This window comes from Homo sapiens, chromosome 1 (assembly GCF_000001405.40).
Source record: "Homo sapiens chromosome 1, GRCh38.p14 Primary Assembly".
In the NCBI taxonomy this organism is placed as follows: domain Eukaryota; kingdom Metazoa; phylum Chordata; class Mammalia; order Primates; family Hominidae; genus Homo; species Homo sapiens.
The window spans coordinates 151362410-151376856 of NC_000001.11; the positions used below are offsets into that span (position 1 = coordinate 151362410).

Sequence of the window (14447 nt, forward strand, 5' to 3'; positions counted from 1 at the left end):
ACCATATCTCATGTTCAGTGGTAATCCCTAGTGTTGGAGGTGGGGCCTGGTGGGAGGCCGTAAAGGCATTTCAGAGACCTTTGCAGCAGCTCCTCCCATCACAGGCCCAGAGGCCTAGGAGGACTGAATGGTTTTGTGGGCCATGTCCAGGCTCCCCCTGCTCTGTGCTGCTCCCTGCATTCCAGCTGCTCCAGCTCCAGGCATGGCTCAAAGGGGCCCAGGTATAGCTTGGGCCACTGCTCCAGAGAGTGCAAACCTAAGCCTTGGTGGCTTCCATGTGGTGTTAAGCCTGAAGCTGTGCAGAGTGCAAGAGTTGAGGCCTGGGAGCCTCTGCCTAGATTTCAGAGGATGTATGGAGAAGACTGGGCTCCAGGCAGAAGCCTGCTACAGAGGCAGAACACTTATGGAGAACCTCTACTAGGGTCGGGTGGAGGGGAAATGTGGGGTTGGAGCCCCCACACAGAGTCCCCAGTGGGGCACTGCCTAGTAGAGCTGTGAGAAGAGGGCCACTGTCTTCCAGACCCCACAATGGTAGATCCACTGCCAGCTGGCACCCTGCACCTGGAAAAGCCACAGGCACTCAACACCAGCCCATGAGAGCAGTCATGGGAGCTGAACCCTGCAAAACCACAGGGGCAGAGCCCAAGGCCTTGGAAGCCCATCCATAGCACCAGTGCGCCCTGGATTTGGGACATGGAGACAAAGGAGATTATTTTGGAGTATTAATATTTAACAACTGCCCTGCTGGGTTTTGGACTTGCATGGGGCCTGAAGCCCCTTTCATTTGGCTCATTTCTCCCTTTTGGCATAGGAGTATTTACCCAATGCCTATACCCCCATTGTATCTTGGGAGTAACTAACTTGTTTTTTATTTTACAGGCTCATAGGTGGAAGGGACTTGCTTTTTCTCAGATGAGACTTTGGACTTTGGACTTTTAAGTTAATGCTGGAATGAATTAAGACTTTGGGGATTATTGGAAAGGCATAATTGTATTTTGAAATGTGAGAAGGACATGAAATTTGTGGGGGGGCCAGCGGCAGAATGATATGGTTTGAAACTGTGTCCCCAACAAATCTCATGTCAAATTGTAATTCCCAGTGTTGGAGGTGGGGCCTGGTGGGAGATGACTGGATCATGGGGGGTGGGTTTCTCATGACTGGTTTGGCACCACCCCCCTTGGTACTATCCTTGAGACCGTGAGTGAGTTCTCCTGAGATCTGGTTGTTTAAAAGTGTGTGGCACCTCCCCCCTTGCTCTCTCTCTCTTGCTCCTACTCTGGCCGTGTGATGTTTGTGCTCCTCCTTCACCATCTGCCATGATTGTAAGTTTCCTGAGGCCTCCTGAGAAGCCGGGCAGATGCCAGTGTCATGCTTCCTGTAGAGCCTGCAGAACCATGAGCCAATTAAACCTCTTTTCTTTATAAATTACCCAGTCTCAGGCATTTATAGCAATGCAAGAGCAGCCTGATAAACCTCCCAACAGCTGCGTTCTCCCAGTCGTCTTGCCATCAGTGGAAATATATTACACTATACACAACAGGGATCCTGGGGTCTCCTGTGTGTGAGGGAGCATGTTACATTCTCTTGAGAGTGATGGGTGAGATTTTTAGGTTCATTAAAAGAAAGCATGGGTTAAAAAAAAACCAAAACTTTAGAAACACCGATTTACATTCTCTACCCCCAGGTCTCCTTGTGACGATCACCCCCAAAATTTTCAGATTTTGTCTGGCCATAAAATTGAGATTTGGGCATTATTAGCATCATGTTGGAATCACTGGTGTGAACTAGTTACCATAACCCCCACTGGAGGCCTCTTTAGCCCTTTCTTGTGCATGATACAAAGGGTAGGCAGAAGAAGAGACACAGGCCCTGGGCCCCCAAAGACAAGGCCATCTGAAGGACAGGGTTACGAGTTTATTTCTTGGTGCCTCCAAGAGCTCATGGAAAAGCAGCACAGTGAGCAACAAGCAACAGTGGTCAGTAAATGTATATGACTCAACACATTGCCACAGTCTCAGCTTGGCTGTGTGGTACATGCTGCCAAGGGTCGGGTGCCAAGAGAGAGCAGAATGAAGCCAGGTCCCCAAGGAAGTGAGGGCCCAAAATAGGGAGTGTGGGTGATGAGGGTGGAGTTCAAATCCAGATGTCAGAGCTACAATCGCCCCCAGGGTAGCGGAGCTCATGGGCAAGGGCTGGGCCAAGGGGCTCCTTCCCGAAGTCCACCAGGAAGTTGGGGTTCAACTTCAGCCCTCCTTTTACTGTGTCTACATCAACCTGCAGCATCACAGAGCCTTCCCTGGTGGAAAAGGGAATGGGGTAAGGGAGAGGTCAGAGGTGGCTGCCCCCTTCCCCTAAGATTTTAGGGGAAAGCTCCTGAGGAAGGAGGAATGACCAGGGTCTCAATGGGCCATCTGTGTGGTGGGGTACAGGGGTCTCCTTGAGGAGTCTTCAGAAAGCCAAATGACCCCTCTGGAAGAGGAGGGCTGGGGAGGAGAGCCCATGTGTCTGCTTCTCACCTGATGAGATCAGGGTAAAACTGCTTGTCCCAGGCACTGTACAGCGACGTGGTGATGTAGAGGCGCTTCCCATCCAGGCTGAGCTGGATCATCTGAGGGCCTCCAGCCACCCGTTTTCCCTTGGGAAAACCAGGGGTCAGAGCCCAGGGTAACACACAGATCCTAGGCACCACCCCAACCCCAAGAGTATGCTCAGCTGCTCCCCCACATATTCCTCAAGCATGGGTCTGAGGGGTCCAGCAAGTAGGGGGAGAGGCTCTTACCTTGACCACTAGGGGCTCTGGCTGGGACTTTAGTTCCTCGTCCTCCAGCACTTGCACAGGGCCTCCCTTAACAATGCTGCCTCCGAGGAAGAGCTAGATGGGGAGGTGCAGAGTATAAGGAGGACCATAGTGGGAGGCGCAAACATTGCAGGAAGAGCAGCTTGCCTGGCTGGAACCCCTCTCTCCTTTCAGACATGCTCTGCATGCCCATCCCTGGCCTGGACAGTCCTGGGCCTGTGCTGTCCCACAGCACACATGTCTGCTTTTCCTGCACCTCCCTCAACATCCTGCAGCTGCTTCAGATCATCCACCCCATCCCCAGCTTCTCTTCTCTTTCCTTCCTTCCCTTCTGCTCCTCCTGCCAGGGTCTCCACCTGTCCTGTGAGGCGGGGTCTCTGTGGGTCAGAGATGTCATACTGCCTCAGGTCCCCATGCAGCCAGTTGCTGAAGTAGAGGAAGCGGTCGTCCAGGGAGAGCAGGATGTCGGTGATCAGGCCTGTGGGCAGGGGGCGAGTAGAGCCTTTAAGGACTCTTGTTTCCCAGGCCAAGAATCAACTTTCCTATGCCCTAGGCACTCACCTGGCATTTCGGGCAGCAGCCAGCCCTTCACTTTCTTGGGGGGCACCTGGATCACCTTCTCCACTGACCATGTACCTCCCTACATTGAGGGGTGGAGGGTGAGGTTAGCTGGCAGAGAGGTCAGCCTATCAGAATTGGGGACTAGGGGTTAGATCTGGGTTGCCCAGACCTGGGAGGGAGAGAATAGATGCCCGGCCTTCTTGCCAGCAGGATCTAACTCCATGCAAGCCCCTTGAGGCAGGGGTTGTGTCTGCTTCACCACTGCATTCCCAGAACATAGCACAGTGCCTAGCACAGACATTCACTAAGTAGTTTTTGAATGAATGGATAAATACGGCCAGTTAGGGTTCAGGCAGAAGTTGCCCTAGCACTGAGAGAAGAGAGACAGGGCATGCAGCCTCATTTTTTTCGTTCCTGGAGACGCCTGGGAGCACCGTTACAGAAGCCTGCTTAGGTAGAGCTGCTGACAAGACTACTGGGAGGGGAGGGCCAGAGGGCGTATGTCACCTCGTTCTTGTAGAAGCGCTGGATGGTGGAGCTGAGTGCGCAGCCCACAAAGCCTTGGGCAGCGTCTGGGTTGTGCAGGAAGCGGATCTCCAAGGGAATAAGCCCATCTTTTAGAGACAGGGTCTGCACAATCTCATGGCGCTGCCAGTCCCATACATATAAGTGGCTCCCGTACAGTCCTGGGGTGGGAGTGGGGCCGGAGGATAGGCTCAGCATCAGAGGTTGGAAGGCATGGGCAAAGACTGGGCCACCAATCAGGGCAGAAGGTTAAGAAATGGATTGGAGGGATCAGGAAGACGCTTGAGCAATCTGAGCATGCGGTACATCCTATGCCATCTCTCTTAGATTCTGGGGCCACAGGAGGGAAGTGTGGGGGTGGGAGATTTGGAGCAGAAAGCAAGGGGATGTAGGCCCAAGGCTCCTGCTGGCACATGGGGGGATTCTCACCAGCCTCCACATCAGCGGGGTTGAAGCCATCTCGTAAGACATTGGGAGCTGCCCACTCAGTGCTGATCATGACATTGTGTCGAGGCTGGTACCAGAAGTCATAGCCCAACGGTGCAGCACCCCCAGGTCTCTCCCATGTCCCCTTCACCTCGAACGTCTCCCCATCCAGCAGCACAAAACCCCCTGAACAGGGAAGGAAGCAGGGTGGCAGGTAGAAGCAGTAGAGACACTAACCCCACCCTCCAGCCCTCTCCCCGAGGCATGTCTAAGAGGCTGTAAGCCCATTGCCTCTACCTCCACTGCTGGATTTGCCAGTTCCTTAAATTCAGGCATCCAGGGCTGGGGGAAGAGTGGCTCATGCCAGTAATCCCAGCCCTTTGAGAGGCTGAGGCGGGCGGATCACTTGAGGTCAGGAGTTCAGGATCAGCCTGGCCAACATGGTGAAACTCTGTCTCTATTAAAAATATAAAAAATTACCCAGGCATGGCGTCACATGCCTGTAATCCCAGCTACTCGGGAGGCTGAGGCAGGATAATCTCTTGAACCAGTGAGGCGGAGGTTGGAGTGAGCTGAGATTGCGCCACTGCACTCTAGCCTGGGCAACAGAACGAGACTCCCATCTCAAAAAAAAAAAAAAAAGAGAAAAGAAAAAGAAAAAAGAAAAGAAAAAGTAAATAAAAAATTCAGGCATCCAAAGGGTCTCATCCAGGTATTCAAATTTGGCCAGGTGGCAGGGGGGCCTTTACGCCAGTGCCCCTGTCTCCTGTCTACTTCATCTCTCTCTCAGACCACAGCAGAAACGTTTCTCCCACGAGATCTTCTGGGACTCAGCACCTGGTATTTCTCTTGTCCAGCCTCCCACTTTTGGAGTGGGATTCCTCCCAGAGTCTAAGCTCCATTCTGCTCACTACATTTTTTTGAGAGAGGGTCTCACTCTGACGCCCAAGCTGAAGTGCTGTGGTTCAATCACAGCTCATTGCAGCCTTGACCTCCCTGGGCTCGGGTGATCCTCCTACCTCAGCCTCTTGAGAAGTGGGGGTTATAGGCCTGTACCACCACACCCAGCTAATTTGTGTATTTTTAGTGCAGAGTTGCCAGTGCCAACTCTGTATTATCAGCAGACAACACAGAGATGGGGTTTCACCATGTTGGCCAGGCTGGTTTGGAACTCCTGAGCTCAAGCGATCCGCTGGCCTCGGCCTCTTGAAGTGCTGGGATTAGAGGAGTGAGGCACAACACCTGGCCTGTTTTGACTATAACTTTGAACTGAATTCATCAGTGAAGACTCATCTTAATAGAAATATTCAAAACTGAAGTTACTTGCTAACATTTAAAATACTGGCTGGGATCCAGCTCACTGGTTCTCCTTGGGAAGTCATTCCAACCCTCCCCTTCCATTCTGCTCCTCCCACAGAAAAATGCTTCCCACATTTCACAGCTGTGGAAGTTTTCATGAGCACACAGTGCTGGCAGGTACCTTTGCCATTGCCCTTGACGTCTCCCAGGGAGCTGATCATCACTTCCCCGCTGGCCAGGCAGTGGCTGGTGTGGAGAAAGGCCAGTTCGCACTTGGCATGGATGTCCTTGGGCTCAATGACCTGGAAGGGGTGGGGAATGGTGTCAGAATCATACAGGACTGGGAGTCCCTGCTCTTAACCTCCATACTTCCCCTACTTCTATCTGCTGACTCTGTCATCTTTTCCTTCAAAACATGGACACAACTCTCCCTGTGGGAATATGACAAAGATTCAGTCTGGTAACTTCTACAGAGCAGCAAGGGAAAGTCAGAGAGATTGCTAATAACTCCCCAGGCAGAAAGCGCTGACCTTTCCCCATGTGTCCTGAAGGCACACGCAGCCCTGTGAAACCATAAGCTCCTCCCAGGCTGGCCTACACCAGTGTCAACTCTGTATTACCAGTAGACAACACAGTAAATGCCTGGCACCAAAAGTGCACTAAACAAAGTGTTGGGAGAGACCGGAATTTTTAAGAGAACCCTGAGCTCCTAACTGCATGGGGGAATAAATGGCTCCCTCCCTCTCTCAGAGTAAAACAAGAAGCCTTGTCCCTCTTCTCCCATGCCCTGGTCACCGTGCTGGAGGGTGATGACCCAGAATGCCTGGGTAGACTCTGCTCTGAGGTCCAACCTCCCTCCCTGCTGCCGAGCCAGTTGCCGCGTAAGAGCTGGAGGCTGCTGGTTTAGGTCTGGCTTCCTGCCCGTAGACTACCTGGGGTGGCAGGTGTCTTATGGTCTACTGAGCTGGCAAGGGCAGAGGACATGCCTTGTGCAGCTTTGGGGCCCGGGGCTCAGAGCCCACGTCCACCACATAGATGCGAGAGGAGATGAGACTGGGCAGCACCAGCTTGGTGCGCGACTTGGTGCTATCACCGAAGCAGCTGCTGCAGGTGTTCCATCCTGAGTGATGCAGCTCGTCCTTCAGGTTGGGCATGGGCAGCCGGTGGATGACCTAGGATGCGGGGAGAGGTGGTGCTCCCCCAGGCCACGCCTCTGTCCACTTTTGGAAGAGGCGCCCTGTGGACTCATTTTGGTTTGGAAGCACGGCACAGGCTGGATTTCAGCACTCCCCTTGTCCCAGGTTGAGCGTGCACAAGCATCCCCAGGGAGGGCCAAGAAGGATGGAGCTGGGAAGGGGGGGCCCAGGGCCAGGGATGAGGGCAGCTATGGTCTCAAAGTAGCTGGCGCCCAAGCCCCGCCTAACCTGGCAATACTGGGGAGACTTGGGGTCAACATCCACAGTGGCCAGATAATCTGGGGCCTCAGTGCCTGTGTTTCGGTAAATGCAGGGCAGGTAGACGATCTCTTCCCTGGGTCCTGCACGGTAGAAAGCAGGCAGCAGGGACGGCAGGGTGGGAAGGAAAGGTAGGGGAAGTGCTGGGTGTGCCAGAGGGTGGGGGCTAGGTCTGAAGTCCCTCCACCCCCAGCTGTGGAATCAGTAGTAGGGCGCTGGCTCTCAGACCATGGGCAATTACCTTTCATGGCCTCCAGAGGGGTGGAGTAGCCGGGTCCACAATTCCCACATTTCGTAGCTGTGGAAGCAATGGGGCGCATTGGCTGGGCCACGCTCTGGAGGGTGAAGGCTCCCTCCGCACGTTCTGCAGCACACATCCCAGCGGGCCACGGCAGTGCGGCTGGCCTAGGTCCCCACTCCAGCCTCATCGCTCTGGCCTGTCCTCTCCGCCCCCTCAGAGCCCTGAGGAGGGTGAGGTTGTGCTGGGAAGAGCTGGAGACACATGACCTGAAGGTGGACAGACAGTCCAGCAGGGCCCCGGGAGGGTGGGAGGAGGGCTGATGCAGCCGGGGTCGTGTGGTGTAGTGAATATGACACGGACTCGGGGCCCAACCCCAGCCCACCACTGACTAGCCAGGGGAGCTTGGGCAAAGTACTGAAGCTCCTCGACCTCAATTTCTGCATCCTCTGTAAAATGGAGATGGTAAGAATTTCACAGTGGGCTTTTACGAGAAGTAAACACGAGGGTGCAGTAGGTGTGCAGCTCTGTGTTTGTCTGGTCGAAGCCCAGGCACCCTTGGCTGTTCTTGAGGAGCTGCTCTCAGGGAGTGGGGTGGCGCCTGCTCAGCTCCCTTCACCAAGATGCTTCTATATCAGGGGGAGGCCACTTCCTGCTTTTCTCTCCCCTGGGTCCTGATCCCAGGCTGCTAGCCAAGGGCTGGATTACATAACCGAGGGTCTGGGGCTAATACCAACTGGAAGTCCTCAGGCTGGTTTCTACCCCTGGGTGTGCCCCACTTCCTTTATCTGTAAAGTAAGGTGTTTGGCCCAACTCTGGAGAGCCCAGAGGCCTGCCCACCAGAGAGATAGGGAGCAACCCTCCCTATCTCTGAAGTCTGGCAAGAGGGGCCATGCTAATCTCCAGGATGTAAGTCAGCAGATGTGCAGTAGGGCTGGGACATCACAGCTACCAGCACCCCAGCATCAGAGTTTGGGGCCTGCTGGGGAGCAGGGGTTAAAGAATACCCAGAGGGGGTGGCAGGCTGAAAGAAACCCTGGAGTGGAGTCCACAGGCCTGGGCCCTGTCTCCTGCCTTGTCCTGTGGCCAGTCCAGCCTCTGCCTTCACAGCTGGGCCGCAAGTGGGGAGCCAGGAGTAGGCAGAGTGGGGCCTCCACTGGGGCCTGGGACTCCCACTCGCAGCAGCCAAGAGACTTAGGAAGCTGAGAGGCAGCAACAGCGTTCAGAGTCTGGAAACCTGGTTTCAAGTCCCAGTTTTGACGCCCCGTTTCTCCATTTTCTCCTCTTCATTTACGAAAAGTGGGCAATAATGATATTCTACCTACTTTGCTAGGTAGATATGGAGGACAAATAAGACAATGTATTCCAAAGGCCTTTCATAAAAATGAATTAGGCCGGGTGCGGTGGCTCATGCCTGTAATCCCAGCACTTTGGGAGGCTGAGGCGGAAAGATCACCTAAGGTCAGGAGTTTGAGACCAGCCTCACTAACATGGCAAAACCCTGTCTCTATTAAAAATACAAAAATTACCCTGTATTAAAAATTAGCCTGTATTAAAAAATACAGGCATACACCTGTAATCCCAGCTACTTGGGAGGCTGAGGCAGGAGAATCACTTGAACCTGGGAGGTGGAGGCTGCAGTAAGCCGAAATCACGCCACTGCAGTCACTCCAGCCTGGGCAACAAGAGTGAAATTCTGACTAAAAAAAAAAAAAAATAATGAATTACTGTGTAAATATGGGAAGGGCTGTGCCAGAGGAGAGGAGAATGCCAGGGAGTGCTCGATGCCCAGCGAGAGGGCTGGAGGTGGGGCAGGGAGAGAGAGAGAGGTCCAGTTCACAGGAGTTAAGGAGACTGGTTCTGTTACACAATCTTGCTAAGTCGGGGCTTGGCACCAGATGACAGGGGGTGGGGAAGGAGGTTGCTGGATACAGAAGGGAAAGGAGATTTTAAAACTCCAAGACCTCAAGACAGAGATACAAAAAATACAAAGCTAGGGAGAAGCTGAGAGGGAAGTAAAAGTGCAGAGATGGAGCTGCCCGCTCTGCAGCCTCGGCCCACCCCACACCCCAGCAACCCCAGCCCCAGCATTTCTTAGGGTCAGGCCTGGCATGCCACTGCAGCCCCAGGGAGCATCATTCCTCTTTCTGGGGAATACCCCCATCTGAAACATCTCAAGCAAGGTCTCGGAGCAGCTTTGGGTTTGGGATGGACTCATGGAAAGCTCAAGTGGGTTTTCCATGTCAGGCTGGCTGCTGGGCATTCTGCCAGCTCGGCATTCTGCCAGCTCAAGAGCCAGCCCCGAGCGGGGAAGGACCTCCCAACCAAACCTCAGTTCCTTCTTAGCCTGTCACCCAGAAGCCTACAGATGGAGGAATAGCAGGGCCAAGGGGGATTTAGGGGTGGGGGAGGCATTGAAACAGGTCCCCAGTGAAAGAGTGTGGGGGTCTCTGATTTCCCTCCCAGAGAGCTTTGCTGTGTGGAGTAGCTAGAGAGTGACCTGGGCACAGAAAGGCTTTGGACTCCCTACCTCGCTGGAGTACAAAGTTGGCCCATGGCTGAAATCAGGATCACCTCTCTACTATGTGAGGGCCAGGGACCTAGTGGTGTTTTCTAAGAGCGCCCATCTGATTTTCCCAGCTGCAGAAAGGCACCCTGGTCCCAGCCTCTGCTGGATGGAGCCAAGTCAGGGCCCAGGATCCCATCTCCCAGCAGTGCCTCTGCCCGTCTTCCTCAGAAAGTTTGGCTGAGCTGGGAAATGCAGTGGGGTGGTGGGGGAGGGGGTGTGCAGACTGGGGACAATGAAGCAGAGTCCACTACTCCCTCCCCAGCTCCCCACTCAGGTTTTCTAGCATTTTCTGGAGGAGGGCCTTCCAAATTAGGGGCAGACAGAGCAGGCAATGGGTGATTGGAAACCCCTCTCCTTACCCATGCTGCCGACTGGTACACTTTGATCCCGGCGGGTTTGCTGTGCTGGTGTCAGAGGCCGCTGTTCCGGGGAAGGAGCGAAGGGAGGGAATTTATACAACCAGCTGGGGGTGGGGCAGAGAAGGAGGAGGGCCCGGGCTGTAGCCCAGAGTAAACTACTCAGGGCAGCTGGCCAGGATACTCTCAAGTGGCCTAGGGCAACTGGTGTTTGAATTATGGGGTGTGCGTGTATGTGTTTAAGTGTGTATGTGTGGGAGCCTGTGCTTTATTTATTTATTTATTTATTTAGAGACAGGGTCTCACTCTTGCCCAGGCTGGAGTGCAGTGGTGCGATCTCGGCTCACTGCAACCTCTGCCTCCTGGGTTCAAGTGATTCTCCTGCCTCATCCTCCCGAGTAGCTGGGATTACAGGCACCCACCACCATGCCCAGCAATTTTGTATTTTTAGTAGAGAAGGGATTTCACCATGTTGGCCAGGCTGGTCTCAAACTCCTGACCTCAGGTGATCCACCCGTGTCGGCCTCCCAAAGTGCTGGGATCACAGGTGTGAGCCGCTGCCCCTGACCAGCTCGTGCTCTTTAGTGGGTGCCTGGGTGTGTGTGGATTTGTGTGTCTGGGCATGTGTGTGTTCCTGTATACCTGCGTGTTGCTCGTGCACGTGCCTGCATGAGTGTGTATCTGTGCCTGTGTGTGAATTTCCACGTGTGTGAATGTGCCTGTGAGTGTGCTTGTGTGTATTTGTGCGTGTGTGTGTGTGCGCGCCTCTGTATGTGCCTACCAGAGTATCTACGCCTGTGTGTGTGTGTGTGTGTGTGTGCGCGCCTCTGTGAGTATGTGCTTGCTAGAGTATCTACGCCTGTGTGGACATGTGCATAAGTGCTTGTGTATGTGTAGTGTGTGGCTATGTGGCTGTGCATGTGCTTGTGTAAGCCTGCGCACGTATGTGTTCCTGTGTCTCCAAATGCTCGTCTTTGTATTTGGACCTGTCTCTTAGCATTTAGGGGCACCCGGGACTGTGGGCCCATCAGCCAGGGTCACTTCTTCCCTAAGATTGCCCTCTTATTCCAGATATTCATACTCTTTGGATAAAAGCTCTGGGGTGAAGTTTTTATTGGCTAGGAAAAAGAATAAAGTCTGGGCTTGAGATTGCAAGTAGAATACAGGGTTTCCAAACCAGAGTGGGGGAAGGGGAGCAAAATTGGGCCTTGGTGCATTGGGTATCTGTCTTCCTGGCTCCCATCAGTGAGGGATCATGTGCCCATCAAGGAAGACTCCCTGTGGCTGCCCGGGGCAAGGGTCTTCTCTTATCCCCAGCGCCACTCAACCCCTCTTGGCTCCATCCTGCATCTATTATCCTCACCATTGTGCCATCAGCCTGCCAGGCATCAAAGAGAGTCTTGTGTGTGCAGCTGCCCCACGGGGAAGGCCCTGAAGGCTGCTTCCTTGTCTTTGCCAGCTTCCTCCTGTCCTGACTACCTCCACTCACCCTGCCTTCACCCTTCCCTCTGGCCCTCCCCTCTTCCTCCTCCTGAGGTCTCCATCTCCTGCCTCCTCTCTATTCTCCGGCTTCTTGGCTTGGGTTAGTCCACCACCCAAGATCTGAAAGAGAAAGAAACTTTATCCCCACCTTCTCATAAAAAATTATTGAGTCATTAACTTAAAAAAAAAAAGGCTGTTATTTTGTTTGTTGTGGTCTGTCATTGACTACCTCTTTCATGCTCCTGAGCTCTGACCTGGCTGGTCTCTGCAGCAACTCCATGGCACCCCTCACCTCTGCCTGTGGTTTTCTCCCTGAACTCTTGCTCTACAGCCAGCAGGTGGTTGGGGAAGTTATCCTAATCTGGGCTACAGAGGGAGGCAGTAAAGGTAGAGGGGCGATTCTCCTGCCTCAGCCTCCCGAGTAGCTGGGACTACAGGTGCCCACAACCATACCTGGCTCATTTTTGTATTTTTAGTAGAGACGGGGTTTCACCATGTTGGACAGGCTGGTCTCGAACTCCTGACCTCAAGTGATCCACCCACCTCCGCCTCCCAAAGTGCTGGGATTACAGGCCTGAGACACCGTGCCTGGCTGACCTGGATAATTTTTAAATTTTTTTTGTAGAGATGGGGGGTCTCACTATGTTGCCCAGACTGGTCTCAGACTCTTGGGCTCAAGTGATCTGCCTTGGTCTCCCAAAGTTAATTTTGGATTTTTAAAAAAATAATAAGTACTGCTTTTGTAACTAAAAGCTCAAATAAATATATTAAAAGAAAAACTATAAGGAAGATGAAAGGAAGGATGGAAGGTCACATGCAGTGCAGGTGAGGGCCACAGTGAGGGCCCATGCTGGGGAGAAGGACTGGCCCCGGTCCCTTTTGAGCTACAGCTCTCCCAACCAGCTGCCTATCCTTCCCTCTGGAGCACCTCTTTTGAGCCAGATATGGTAGACAAAGTGGTGAACAGGGCAAAGTTGCTACCTTCATGGAGATGACTTTTTAGGGGAGATGACTGATAATCATGCAAATACACAAATAAATAAAATCACTTCAGATAAGTGCTGTGAAGGAGTAGGGTAATGTAGGGGTGATGCAGCATTAGGTGGGGTTGCTTGGTATGTATGGGTACAGAATTATATGCAAACAAACAGTACAAAAGAACTAAAACAAACAAACCAAAAAGCACAAACGTGCACAAAATGCCTGTAAGGCATAAAGGTAGCAGCCCATGGAGGTCTGAGGCAGGACTGGCTGGAGAGGTTGGAGTTTTCACCAGCTAAGTAGAGTTTCAGAGCCCTGTTCTGCTCATTTCTCCTTATATTAACAGACCAACTCCATACCCTCAGGGATGTGTAGGAGATGTGAAGGGAGTAGCGTTTACTGAGAACCTGCTACTAGAGGTGACGGGCGCCATGCCGGGCCCTACACACTAACAATTAGCTCAGGTTCCGCCCATGGCACAGCTGGAGAGGTTAAATGCCTTTTTCTTTTTCTTTCTTTTCTTTTTTTTTTTTTGAGACAGAGTCTCCCTCTGTCGCCAGGCTGGAGTGCAGTGGCGTGATCTCTGTTCACTGCAACCTCCGCCTCCCAGGTTCCAGTGATTCTCCTGCCTCAGCCTCCTGAGTAGCTGGGACTACAGGCGCATGCTACCACGCCCAGCTAATTTTTGTACTTTTTAATAGAGATGGGGTTTCACCATATGGCCAGGCTGGTCTCAAACTCCTGACCTTGTGATCTACCCGCATTGGCCTCCCAAAGTGCTGGGATTACAGGTGTGAGCCACCGTGTCTGGCCTGTAAATGCCTTTTTCTTCATCTTACATTCAGGAAACAGAGTTTTCCCAATTCACTCCGTTGCCCACACTTAATGCACTGTTTCTGAATGACAGTGAGTTCAAAGCCTGCTGCTCAGGGTAATAACATGGCTCAGAGAAGAGAAATAATTTTTTTTTTTGAGACGGAACGTCACTCTGTCACCCAGGCTGGAGTGCAGTGGCAAGGTCTTGGCTCACTGCATGTTCCATGTCCTAGGTTCACGCCATCCTCATGCCTCAGCCTCTCGAGTAGCTGGGACTACAGGTGCCTGCCACCACGCCTGGCTAATTTTTCATATTTTTAGTAGAGACGGGGTTTCACCGTGTTAGCCAGGATGGTCTCTATCTCCTGACCTCGTGATCTGCCTGCCTCGGCCTCCCAAAGTGCTGGGATTACAGGCGTGAGCCACCGCGCCCGGCTGAAATAATTTTTTTTAATGCCCTCTGCCAGGGCTGTCTATAAAAAGCATGATTTGAGAACCACTTGGAGGACTTTCTCCTCACTGCCAATCCACTCAGAAATATCCTCCCTTTGGCCTGCCATTGATGCTTGAAACTTCACCAATAGCAGTTTATTTCTTTGTGTTACTACCAGATGGCCTCTTCTCACCTCCTGGCTACAGTGAATGTCTCTGGAGTGGTAACCCTTTAAGCTCCTAGTACTGCAGCGCCACTCAGTTTTATCAGAAGCCTGTGTCCCAGTGGGCAGCACTGAAGAGTGGCTGGGGGCCTATCATATCCAGGGAGATGCTAAGGTTGGGGACAGAAGGTGTTTAAAAAGCAAATGTTATCGTCTTGACTCCTTACCTCTATTGCTTAAAGAGAAGGAAGAATAAACAGTGAGGTGGCTCACACTTGTAATTCTAGCACTTTGGGAGGCTGAGGCAGGTGGATCCCTTGAGCTCAGGAGTTCAAGACCAGCCTGGG

At 52.8% G+C, this 14447-nt stretch overlaps 1 protein-coding gene across 5 annotated transcripts, besides 4 other annotated features; it reads right to left on the minus strand.

Moving 5' to 3' along the window:
- Positions 1-1894: 1894 nt before the first annotated feature.
- SELENBP1 (selenium binding protein 1) lies at positions 1895-10296 on the minus strand. 5 transcript variants are annotated; one of them, NM_003944.4, is made up of 12 exons: positions 10229-10296; positions 7304-7360; positions 7033-7145; positions 6595-6780; positions 5790-5910; positions 4313-4495; positions 3866-4044; positions 3359-3437; positions 3154-3275; positions 2780-2872; positions 2517-2635; positions 1895-2296 (listed from the first exon to the last, which is right to left on the minus strand). In NM_003944.4, the coding sequence occupies exons 1-12, from the start codon at positions 10230-10232 to the stop codon at positions 2134-2136; spliced, it is 1419 nt and encodes a 472-aa protein (NP_003935.2). In that variant the 5' UTR covers positions 10233-10296; the 3' UTR covers positions 1895-2133. The 5 variants fall into 5 exon arrangements, 4 of the variants coding, with proteins under 4 accessions (NP_003935.2, NP_001245218.1, NP_001245217.1 ...); NM_001258289.2 differs by having other exon boundaries at positions 7304-7569; NM_001258288.2 differs by lacking the exon at positions 6595-6780.
- Positions 7561-8232: an enhancer, noted in NCBI's record as "H3K4me1 hESC enhancer chr1:151342446-151343117 (GRCh37/hg19 assembly coordinates)". NCBI's record gives its function as "activates a minimal SCP1, AML or CMV promoter by ChIP-STARR-seq in naive H9 embryonic stem cells {active_cell/tissue: H9 hESC(naive)}" and the evidence as "EXISTENCE:reporter gene assay evidence [ECO:0000049][PMID:30033119]".
- Positions 8233-8903: an enhancer, noted in NCBI's record as "H3K4me1 hESC enhancer chr1:151343118-151343788 (GRCh37/hg19 assembly coordinates)". NCBI's record gives its function as "activates a minimal SCP1, AML or CMV promoter by ChIP-STARR-seq in primed H9 embryonic stem cells {active_cell/tissue: H9 hESC(primed)}" and the evidence as "EXISTENCE:reporter gene assay evidence [ECO:0000049][PMID:30033119]".
- Positions 9650-10233: an enhancer, noted in NCBI's record as "H3K27ac-H3K4me1 hESC enhancer chr1:151344535-151345118 (GRCh37/hg19 assembly coordinates)". NCBI's record gives its function as "activates a minimal SCP1, AML or CMV promoter by ChIP-STARR-seq in primed H9 embryonic stem cells {active_cell/tissue: H9 hESC(primed)}" and the evidence as "EXISTENCE:reporter gene assay evidence [ECO:0000049][PMID:30033119]".
- Positions 10234-10817: an enhancer, noted in NCBI's record as "H3K27ac-H3K4me1 hESC enhancer chr1:151345119-151345702 (GRCh37/hg19 assembly coordinates)". NCBI's record gives its function as "activates a minimal SCP1, AML or CMV promoter by ChIP-STARR-seq in primed H9 embryonic stem cells {active_cell/tissue: H9 hESC(primed)}" and the evidence as "EXISTENCE:reporter gene assay evidence [ECO:0000049][PMID:30033119]".